This window comes from Homo sapiens, chromosome 10 (genome assembly GCF_000001405.40).
Source record: "Homo sapiens chromosome 10, GRCh38.p14 Primary Assembly".
Lineage (NCBI taxonomy): Eukaryota > Metazoa > Chordata > Mammalia > Primates > Hominidae > Homo > Homo sapiens.
The window spans coordinates 11907864-11920021 of record NC_000010.11 but is presented as its reverse complement, the minus strand read 5'-3'; positions in this window follow the sequence as shown (position 1 = coordinate 11920021).

Sequence of the window (12158 nt, the reverse complement as noted above, 5' to 3'; positions counted from 1 at the left end):
GATTTGGCGTGGTGTTGTTTTGTTGGGTTTGGGTTTTGGAAACCGATTGAACGGGTAAATTGGTATCTCCCAGCGTCATCTTTGTGCTTTAAAAATACATTCTCGGCCGGGTGCGGCGGCTCACGCCTGTAATCCCAGCACTTTGGGAGGCCGAGGTGGGCGGATCACGAGGTCAGAAGATCGAGACCATCCTGGCTAACACAATGAAACACCATCTGTACTAAAAATACAAAAAATTAGCCGGGCGCGGTGGTGGACACCTATAGTCCCAGCTACTCGGGAGGCTGAGGCAGGCGAATGGCGTGAACCCGGGAGGCGGAGCTTGCAGTGAGCCGAGATCGCGCCACTGCACTCCGGCCTGGGCGAAAGAGCCAGACTCCGTCTCAAAAAAAACAAAAATACATTCTCAGACGACTAGTGTTGTGTTCACCTTAAGGATTCCATCTCTGCATGACTTTTCTTAGGTGCCGGAGTTAATGTACCTTTGGGGCTAATGAAAAAAAAAGTAGCCTACACAGACCAATAGAATGCACATTTTTAGAAGAGGCCAAATACTGATGAAGATGGGAAATGGTACAGCGTGGTTCAGCCTGGGGCAGTGTTTGTGATTTATGTGGGCAGAGCCTCTGCAAAGCAGGTAACTCACAAAGGAACAGCAGGAACCACTCTTGGTCATCTCTTGCCAGGTGTTAATTTTAAGGCTGATTTACACACTCCAAACGGAGTTACTGTAATCACCATTGCTAAAATTTCAAAAATTGAGCTGAGAGTTCTTATCATTTGGAAAAAAACAAGGATTTATTAAAGAAAGAACCTTCCAGATCTCACTTACCGGAAGTTTATCATCCAGCCCTTATCACCATCTTCATCACTGACTTGTGTACTGTTACTCACTGTCCTTTTGTTGGGTTTACAAGTTTATCATTTTTATATTATTTCTAGGTGTCAGATTATTTATTACAGGGAGCCAGGATCATTCTAAATTCACCCTTTAAATTTCATGTCATACACAAGGCAGACAATGTGAAAATCAGGTGCATGGTGATGATTTACCTTTATTCACCTTTCATCTAGAAAGAATAAAGTCACTAGCAGGTGTAATATGTTGGGGAACCAGAAAGTGGGCCAAATTAGATTCTTCACAACATTGCATCTTCAGTTTGAAAGGACAAGCCCCCTGAATTTTGGAAATGTTTATGATTCTCATAACTGTCAGTCTTTTGGGCCTCCTTTTTCCCCCTTGTGATCAGGAGAGGTAAGCAGGTGTTAACACATCTGGCTGTCAGACTTCTTCCTTTGAGACTTTGATTCTTTTTGGGGGAGTGATAAGCTGGAAAGGCATCCCGGCAGCCTCAGGATCTGTCTCAAGGTCAGTCCCCTTAATTCCCTATGGGAGCCTCACAGGCCCTTGGACACTCTGCGTTTACATACAGCTACTGCAGACCTGAGGTGTGCAAAACCAAGCAGCCTGACGGAGGGTGCAGAAAGTGCACAGTGGCTAGGAGAGCGCGAAGCAAGGATCGTGATGAGAAAACAAAAACCCAAACAGAAGCCAGGCACAAACACACAAAAGAGCAAAAACCGGAGAAGCTCAGTATGGTCTTAACCCCAGAGCATACAGAAGATTCGCATTGGAAGAAACACTCATTTTATAGTCAAGGAATCATGCTGAGAGGTGTGTTAATGCCATTCAGTACAGTAGAATCAGTAATTGATGGTTTCAGGATTTTTATAATGAGCAGAAATATTAGTAACTTCATTATAGGAAGGAATACAGTTGACGCTTGAACACTGGTGGTTAGGGTTTATGACCCCCCGTGCAGTCAGAAATTCACAAAGAACTTTTTTTTTTGAGATGGAGTCTCACTCTGTCCCCAGGATGGAGTGCAGTGGTACGATCTCGGCTCACTGCAACCTCCGCCTGGTGGGTTCAAGAGATTCTCCAGCCTCAGCCTCCCAAGTAGCTGGGATAACAGGTGCCTGCCACCTCATCTGGCTAATTTTTGTATTTTTAGTAGAGATGGGGTTTCACCATGTTGGCCAGGCTGGTCTCAAACTCCTGACCTTAGGTGATCCACCTGCCTCGGCCTCTCAAAGTGCTGGGCTCACAGGCATGAGCCACTGCGCCCGGCCTGCATGTAACTTTTGACTCCCCACAGACTTTACAAATATAGCCTGGTGTTGACTGGAAGCCTTGGCAATATCATAAGTAGTCAGTTAACATGTTTTGTATGTTATATGTATTATGTATTTTATTCTTACAATAAAGTGAGCTAAGGATAATGTTATTAAGAAAATCATGGGCCAGGTATGGTGGCTTATGCTTATGATCCCAGCATTTTGGAGGCTGCGGTGGGAAGATCACTTGAGCCATGGAGCTTGTGGCTGCAATGAACAGAGATTGTGCCACTGCACTCCAGCCTGGGCAACTGAGTGAGACCCTGTCTCTAAATAAATACATAAATAAATACATAAATAAATAAATAAGAAAACCATAAGGAAGGGAAAATATATTTACTATTAAGTGGAAGTGGATCGTCATAAAAGTCTTCATCCTCGTCTTCACGTTGAGTAGGTGAGGAGGAGGAGTTGGTCTTGCTGTCTCAGGGGTGGTAGAGGTGGAAGAAAATCCATGTGTAAGTGGGCCCATGCAGTTCAAACCTGTGCTATTCAAGAGTCAACTGTAGTCCTGGAGTAGTGAGACCTACAGTAGAGAGGTGAGACCGCAGATTTCCTGACTCCACCCATGTCATGTAATATCTTCATGATACTCAGAGTGAAAAACTCAAGATATTCTTTGGAAAAGGCAGAGATGCAACATGTCTCAGGTTCCTTTCTAAAATTGTTTTCAAGTTTTTACATATTCAGAGGTAAACTTTCAGCTACTGGGAGCCCAATGTGTCTTGTAGGTTTTTTTGTTTTTGTTTTTTTTGAGTCAAGAGTCTCACTCTGTTGCCCAGGCTGCAGTGCAGTGGCATGATGCCGCTCACTGCAACCTCCCCGTCCCAGGCTCAAGTGATTCTCCCTCCTCAGCCTCCCAAATAGCTAGGATTATAGGTGTGCACCGCCATGCCCGGCTAATTTTTGTATTTTTAATAGAGATGGGGTTTTTCCATGTTGGCCAGGCTGATCTCCTAACCTCAAGTGCTCTGCCTGCCTTGGCCTCCCAAAGTGCTGGGATTACAGGCGTGAGCCACTGCGCCTACCACCCAATGTGTTTCTTAGTTGCAAATGGAAGGTATCGAAATAGCAACTTCTTGTTTGTTTGTTTGTTTGTTTGTTTGTTTGAGACCGAGTCTCACTCTGTTGCCCAGGCTGGAGTGCAGTGGCTGATCTCGGCTCACTGCAGCCTCCACCTCTTGGGTTCAAGCGATTCTCCTGCCTCACTCTCCCGAGTAGCTGGGATTACAGGTGCCCACTACCACACCTGGCTAGTTTTTGTATTTTTAGTAGAGCTGGGGTTTCACCATGTTGGCCAGGCTGGTCTTGAGCTTCTGACCTCAAGTGATCCACCCGCCTTGGTGTCTCAAAGTGCTTGGATTGCAGGCGTGAGCCACCGCACCCGGCCAGATTTAAACTTGTATATGAATACTTGGAGACCCAGGGAAAACAGAGATTCATTGGACAGATAGCTATTGATCTCACTCTATGTGCTAAGGCACTGTTGTAAGCCCTGGGGATAGAGGTGGAGGGATAGTCACTGCCCTGGAGGAACTAACATCCTTCCAGCAGGGGAGACAGACAGAAATGTGAACAATTCAGTGAATTTAAGCCATGGTATCTGTGAAGTGCTTAGAGCAAGGCTTGGCACGTAGGAAGGATTCCTTCAGTGGCCGCTGCTGTAATTACACCTTTGCGTGTGCTGTTTCCTAGGCTCATGCCCTCTAGCCTTTTTTTTTTTTTCTGAGACGGAGTCTTGCCCTGTCGTCCAGGCTGGAGTGCAGTAGTGCGATCTCGGCTCACTGCAGCCTCTGCCTCCCGGGTTCAAGTGATTCTCCTGCCTCAGCCTCCCGAGTAGCTGGGATTACAGGCATGCACCACCACTTCCAAGTAATTTTGTATTTTTAGTAGAGGCAGGGTTTCTCCATGTTGGTCAGGCTGGTCTCGAATTCCTGACCTCAGGTCATCCATCTGCCTCAGCCTCCCAGAGTGCTAAGATTACAGGCATGAACCACTGCGCCCGGCCGACACACACGACTTTCAACAACTACGCTTTATTGGGCATAGAAACGTACCTGAACAGTAGTGGGAACCATGGGAATGCCACTCTTCAGGGAATATGGCCTTGCCAAGCAGAGAGAGAATGTTCCCACCTCCCCAGAGACCACTGAACACTTAAATTCAGGCACAAACCTTTTATTCTCTCATTAATGTTTCTTCTGTATGCTCTTCCCTCCCAAAGTTGGGAGGCCATTTGAATATCAAGGAGAAATATGTAGTATTCCCAGTTTATATGATTCTTTCATCCAAAAAGTATCATGGCAGCTTCTGAGCCCTGCAATGTGCCTAGACAGGAACTGGCCTGGGTCAAACCACCCCAGGTGTTAGTTTCTGAGATACATTGTGGATGGCGGTCAGGACAAACAAAATCCAAGGTGCCCTTTGGAAAAGATGGGAATTCTATTTTTTTTTTTTTTTTTTTTTTTTTTGAGATGGAGTTTTGCCGCCAGGCTGGAGTGCAGTGGCGCAATCTCAGCTCACTGCAACCTCTGCCTCCCAGATTCAAGCGATTTTCCAGCCTCAGCCTCCCAAGTAGCTGGGATAACAGGTGCCTGCCACCTCGTCTGGCTAATTTTTGTATTTTTAGTAGAGATGGGGTTTCACCATGTTGGCCAGGCTGGTCTCAAACTCCTGACCTTAGGTGATCTACCTGCCTCAGCCTCTCAAAGTGCTGGGTTCACAGGCATGAGCCACAGCGCCCGGCCTGCATGTAACTTTTGACTCCCCACAGACTTTACAAATATAGCCTGGTGTTGACTGGAAGCCTTAGCAATATCATAAGTAGTCAGTTAACATGTTTTGTATGTTATATGTATTATGTATTTTATTCTTACAATAAAGTGAGCTAAGGATAATGTTATTAAGAAAATCATGGGCCCAGGTATGGTGGCTTATGCTTATGATCCCAGCATTTTGGAGGCTGCGGTGGGAAGATCACTTGAGCCATGGAGCTTGTGGCTGCAATGAACAGAGATTGTGCCACTGCACTCCAGCCTGGGCAACTGAGTGAGACCCTGTCTCTAAATAAATACATAAATAAATAAGAAAACCATAAGGAAGGGAAAATATATTTACTACTAAGTGGAAGTGGATCGTCATAAAAGCCTTCATCCTCGTCTTCACATTGAGTAGGTGAGGAGGAGGAGTTGGTCTTGCTGTCTCAGGGGTGGTAGAGGTGGAAGAAAATCCATGTGTAAGTGGGCCCATGCAGTTCAAACCTGTGCTATTCAAGAGTCAACTGTAGTCCTGGAGTAGTGAGACCTACAGTAGAGAGGTGAGACCGCAGATTTCCTGACTCCACCCATGTCATGTAATATCTTCATGATACTCAGAGCGAAAAACTCAAGATATTCTTTGGAAAAGGCAGAGATGCAACATGTCTCAGGTTCCTTTCTAAAATTGTTTTCATCTGGCCAGGCGCGGTGGCTCATGCCTGTAATCCCAGCACTTTGGGAGGCCGAGGTGGGCGGATCACAAGGTCAGGAGATCAAGACCATCCTGGCTAAAACAGTGAAACCCGGTCTCTACTAAAATTACAAAAAAAAATTAGCCGGGCATGGTGGCGGGCGCCTGTAGTCCCAGCTGGAGGCTGAGGCAGGAGAATGGCGTGAACCCGGGAGGCGGAGCTTGCAGTGAGCCGAGATCGCGCCACTGCACTCCAACCTGGGTGACAGAGCGAGACTCTGTCTCAAAAAAAAAAAAATGTTTTCAAGTTTTTATATATTCAGAGGTAACCTTTCAGCTATTGGGAGCCCAATGTGTCTTGTAGATTTTTTTGTTTTTGTTTTTGTTTTGAGACAGAGTCTCACTCTGATGCCCAGGCTGCAGTGCAGTGGCATGATCTCTGCTCACTGCAACTTCTGCCTCCGGGGCTCAAGCGATTCTCCCACCTCAGCCTCCCAAGTAGCTGGGATTATAGGTGTGCATCACCATGCCTGGCTGATTTGTGTATTTTTAGTAGAGATGTGGTTTCTCCATGTTGGCCAGGCTGGTCTCGAACTCCTGACCTCAAGTGCTCCATCCGCCTCGGCCTCCCAAAGTGCTGGGATTACAGGCATAAGCCACTGTGCCTGGCCGGATTTAAACTTTTATATGAATACTTGGAGACCCAGGGAAAACAGAGATTCACTGGACAGATAGCTATTGATCTCACTCTATGTGCTAAGGCACTGTTGTAAGCCCTGGGGATAGAGGTGGAGGGACAGTCACTGCCCTGGAGGAACTAACATCCTTCCAGCAGGGGAAACAGATAAGAAATGTGAACAATTCAGTGAACTTAAGCCATGGTATCTGTGAAGAGCTTAGAGCAAGGCTTGGCACGTAGGAAGGATTCCTTCAGTGGCCGTTGCTGTAATTACCCCTTTGTGTGTGCTGTTTCCTAGGCTCATGCCTCTTGCCTTTCAAGATTCAGTAAGCACCACCTCTTCATGGAAATGCGCGGCCGTCCTCTGGGCCCCCTGCGTGATTTAGGGGCTCCTTCCCTTGAGCTTTAGTAGGAGGTGTCTCTCTGCCTGCCCGCAGCCCTGGCGGAGGGATGAGTTTAAAGGGAGGGTGGTTAGTCGGCTGCTGTCTTGCAAAAGAAACAAGCTTGACCTGCGTACAGCAGTCTAAGGTTAGGAATGGGGGTGCCCTGGGAAGTGCTCAACAAATGCTCCCTCCCACCACCCAGACTATGGAGATTTGGAGGGAATGGCCCTGCCCTGGTTTGGAACAGGGCTTCCGCGCTTCACCCGAACGCTGCCTGACCTCAGGCTTGCTGGTGAGCTGTCACTTGTCTAGTCCGGCTCCACCAGAGGAGGTCAGGAATTTGGGAAATAAAGGCAGGTCTTGCCAGTCACCATGTCCCCATTTCACACTGACTCTGGATGGCGGCACGGTCACTTAGAGCCTGCTGGTGTCAGTGCTGGCAGGAAATAGCTTGCCTGGACTGATGGGCAGAGAACGCTGACCTACTGCCACAAACTGTTAGCTTCGTTTGTAATCTACCAGATGAACAGGCAAGCTTCATGTACACTTGCCACTAGGGAGCATTCAGCTGTGGAACATTGTTGCAGCAGAAGCCCAGAGGCAAGAAATACCTGCTACAGTCAGAGGAGAGTGAAGGTTCCAGGCTGGCCGTGGTGGCCCCTCATTAGATACACACTGAGCCCCAGCTTCGGCACTTCCTACCATTATGACCTTGGGTAGTTATTGACCTCTGACTCTCGGTTTTCTTATCTGTAAGATGGGGATAACTTAGTAGGGTTGTATGAGGAGTTAATGGGATAAAGGACATGAGAGGGTGGCTTTTTTTTTTTTTTTTGAGACGGAGTCTCGCTCTGTCGTCCAGGCTGGAATGCAATGGCACGATCTAGGCTCACTGCAAGCTCCGTCTCCCGGGTTCACGCCATTCTCCTGCCTCAGCCTCCTGAGTAGCTGGGACTACAGGCACCCGCCACCATGCCTGGCTAATTTTTTTTGTATTTTTAGTAGAGATGGGGTTTCCCCGTGTTAGCCAGGATGGTCTCAATTTCCTGACCTCGTGATCTGCCCGCCTCGGCCTCCCAAAGTGCTGGGATTACAGGCGTGAGCCACCTCGCCCAGCCAGGGACAGTGGCTGTTATAGAGTAAGTGCTGAAGGAAGGTTAACTATTAGTATTATCATGATCATAGTGTCTGTGTGTCGGATACAGTGTTGAACACACAGTGGACCAAGCAGGCTCTGTCCTTGAAGACCTCAGAAACCCCTCAGGTGTACACAGTCAATATCAGGTTCAGAACTGGGCAGCTAAAATCACACACATGACTTTCAACAACTATGCTTTATTGCACATAGAAACGTACCTGAATAGTAGTGGGAACCATGGGAATGCCACCCTTCAGGGAATACGGCCTTGCCAAGTAGAGAAACAATGTCCCTACCTCCCCAGAGACCACTGAACACTTGAATTCAGGCACAAACCTTTTATTCTCTTATTAATGTTTCTTCTGTATGCTCTTCCCTCCCAATAATGTTGGGAGGCTATTGAATATCAAGGAGAAATACATGGTATTCCCAGTTTATATGATTCCTTCATCCAAAAAGTATCATGGCAGCTTCTGAGCCCTGCAAAGTGCCTAGACAGGAACTGGCATCAGTCAAACCACCCCAGGTGTTAGCTTCTGAGATACATCGTGGATGGTGGTCAGGACCAACAAAATTCAAGGTGCCCTTTGAAAAAGATGGGAATTCTTTTTTTTTTTTTTTTTTTTTTTTGATGGAGTCTAGTTCTGTCACCAGGCTGGAGTGCAGTGGCACGATCTCGGCTCACTGCAACCTTTGCCTCCCAGGTTCAAGCGATTCTCCTGCCTCAGCCTCCTGAGTAGCTGGGATTGGAGGCATGTGCCACCATGCCCAGCTAATTTTTGTATTTTTAGTAGAGATGGGGTTTCACCATGTTGGCCAGGATGGTCTCAATCTCCTGACCTCATGATCCGCCCACCTCGGCCTCCTAAAGTGCTGGGATTACAAGCGTGAGCCACTGCGCCTGGCTGAAAAGATGGGAATTTGGGAATTCTTTTTTTTTTTCTTTTTTGAGAGAAGTCTCGCTCTTGTCCCCCAGGCTTGAGTGCAATGGCTCCATCTCGGCTCACTGCAACTCTGCCTCCCGGGTTTAAACGATTCTCCTGCCTCTGCCTCCCAAGTAGCTGGGATTAAGGTGCCTGCCACCACGCCTGGCTAATTTTTGTATTTTTTAGTGGAGACAGGATTTCACTATGTTGGCCAGGTTGGTCTCGAACTCCTGACCTCAGGTCATCCACCCACCTTGGCTTCCCAAAGTGCCTGGATTACAGGCATGAGCCACTGCACCCAGCAAGATGGGAATTCTTAAACCCCACAGGCTGGTGACTTTTTCTTTCAGTAGAGTCGGGCCAGAACAATACTCCAGAATCATTTTGAGACTGGAGGTGGGATTTTTACAGGGCTTCGTTGAGACAGGATTGGCAAAGAATAAGTGAAGGAAGCAAAGCAGGAAGAAGATTTGAAATAATCAGTTTTGACCCCTGGCTTGCGTACCTAGAACAAAGGGATGCGGGGGTTGGTTCTCAAATCAATGAGCCCACATTTACTATGACTGTGATACCAGGAGCATTGCATTCAACACTGAGAGTATGAGGAATTGTAGGGATTTGCTTAAATCCTTACCCATCTGGAATGTGTACCCTCATCCTTCAACACAGGACTGACCACCGACTGCTCCTTTGCCATCCTTCCGGTACAGTGGCAGCGATCGGGTGTACCCGCAGGACCAGCTCACACCAATTTACTTTTTCTTAAGTTGTTACAGGTGACAGAGCCAAAATTGCCAGGCACGCACAGCAGGAAGGGTTTGACATCCTCATTGTTAACACCACAAGCCTGGCAGACCGGCTGCATTGCCATCAGCTGAGACTAGTTAGAACGGCCAGGAGGGCTTGACCCACCTCATCTTGGGGAGACGGGTGGGAGTGTGGCTTCCTGTCTCCGTGCCGGGCACTCACAACCACCTGCGCCATAGTACTGGCTTTTCTGCTTGTGGGGCAGCAGGCGTGTCACCCGGTAACACTGGCTGTGGGTGAAGCAAGACTGGATGTCAGTTCTGCTCCTGCCACTTACCAGGTAAGTTCCGTAACTGAAGCCTCTTTAAAGTATTTGTGTAATGAGAATAAATTTCTGAAAGTTCTAGGGTGATGGTGAAAATAGAATGGAAAACAGGTTCCAGACCTGGGCAGCTAAAATTCCTTCAGCCCTCCTGCGTGCTAGTTACGGGTAATAAATAAGGTTACAGTAATGCACAGGGCAGAGAAAGTCCTGCTTCTGTGGCACCTACGTTTTCCAAGGGTGAGACACATAAACAGTGATTAAGGACAGTGTCTCACGGAGGTCACTGCTGATGGAGACTGTATCTGCTGCCTAGACTGCCTTCCCTGGAGGACTCATGCTGGGAGCTGCCAGGAGTGCTCTTGGCAGGCAGCCTCCAGCTGTCAGCTCCTGGGATGGTCTCGGCTGCAGACGTGGCTGGGGGTGGCCTGGGGACACCCCACGTAAACGCTGGTCAGTGTGGGAGTACGAGGGCCAATGCCTCTGCCCAAGTCAAGGCGACTTGAAAGGGCCGTCCTCACTGGAGGGTTCCTGGGAGCTGTTGCTGGGCCCGTGTCATGGCTTAGTGACTTTTTTTTTTTCTTGGAGTAAGTGACTTGCTCTGTTGCCCAGGCTGGAGTGCAGTGGCATGATCACGGCTCACTGCAGCCTTGGACCTACCAAGCTCAAGTGATCCTCCCACCTCAGCCTCCCAAGTAGCTGGGACTACAGGCACATGCAATCCAGCCCAGCTAACTATTTAAAATTTTTTTGCGGAACAGGGTCTCACTTTGTGGGCCAGGCTGATCTTGAACTCCTAGCCTCAAGCAACCCTCCCACTTTGGCCTCCCACAGTGCTGGGGTCACAGGTTTGAGCCATTGTGCCCACGACCGCTCAGTGGCTTGTTGGCTACCCCGGGTCGGATGTGTGGAGGAGGAGTCCTCCAGGCCAAGAGAGAATTAAGAGCTGACAGGGGGTCAGCTCCAGACTGGGGGACACAGTGCAAGAGAAGAGGACAGAGGGAAGGGACTGAGTGTGGCCCTTTGAGGAAGGAGGATGCAGCGGGAGGTGGAGAGAGCTGCAGTGGAAGCGGCGTGAGGGCAGGGCCAGTGCTGGAGTGGGCTTGGTCGCCAGTGGGACGTGTACGTTTCCTTCTAAGTGTTACGGGGTTGGTTGGATCTGACTTGAAGGTTCACTCTGGCTGTGGGGTGGGGAGCAGATGGTAGGGGCTGAGGTGGAGTCAGGAGGGCGAGGCCCTGGACATGGGACGCTTGGGGGATGGTGGATGGGAGGAAAAGAGCAGACAGGCTCGAGCGTGTGTTTCCAGCAGAGCTGCCAGGCCTGGGCAATGGGCTCCATGGAGGAGCAGGTGGGGTGAGGGGACTCGGGGCTCCTGGCCTGGCGACTGGGAGAGTGGTAAAGTGTGGGAAGCCCCTGGTGGTGCCACTCGTGGGGAGGGTGAGGATGAGCTGCCTAAGTGCCGTGTGCCTCTCCTGGTCTGCGTGCCTTGCATGGCCTCATGGCTTTACTGCTGCCAGGGAGAATGGCCCCTGCCAGGTGGACCTGGCTTCTGGAGGCCCCCAGTCTGCAGCTGGCAGGCAGAGGTCTGGCCAGGGAGCTGAGGAGGTCGCGTTGCTCTGGGAAGGGCAAAGGAGGCACTGGGGTGCGTGGGAAGGAGGCTCCCCTCCAGAACCGCGGTGACTGAAGATGCTTCTAGGGCCACTTGGGATCCTCAGGCCTGGGGCTGGGGTCTGAGGAGTGCAGGGAGCGCCCCAGCAGGGACAGGAGCTGGGGAGAGGGGCTGGCTGTGAGCTGGCACCTCCCTCCGTTCTGCCTGGCCGGGTTTTCCTTTCCTTCTGCTTTGACTTGGTTTGTTTGCTGGGCATGTGCTTTGCATTTTTCCTAAGCGAGCCTCAGGAGCTGTGATCGAGGTGGCCCGGGCTGCTGGCATTGGACAGTGGAGAACGTCGCACACCTGGGGAGGCCAGAGGGCTCCCGGCCACAGCCTGCTGCGCTGTGTCTTCTTTGAGACCCGAGGCTTGGGAAGCAAGCTTCCTTCCCACAGCAGCAGGCGAGAAGCGCCCACCTGGGCCCAGGCCCTGACCCTTGCCCTGCCGCCTGCCTCACCGCTCACAGCAGGAGGGGCAGAGAATGGCCCGCTGAGGCTCCGTGGCAGTGACCCTAACTCGGCCCCTCAGGAGAAAGCCATCTGGGTCCCTCTCTTGGGGCCCGGCGGGACAGAGGCTGAAGGTGGCGGAGTGTTTACATCACTGGTGCCAGGCCTGTGGGGCTTTGGCGTCCTTCCTTCTTCCACGATCGGCCAGTGCGCCCCACCTGGGCTCCAAGAGCACTCAGCCC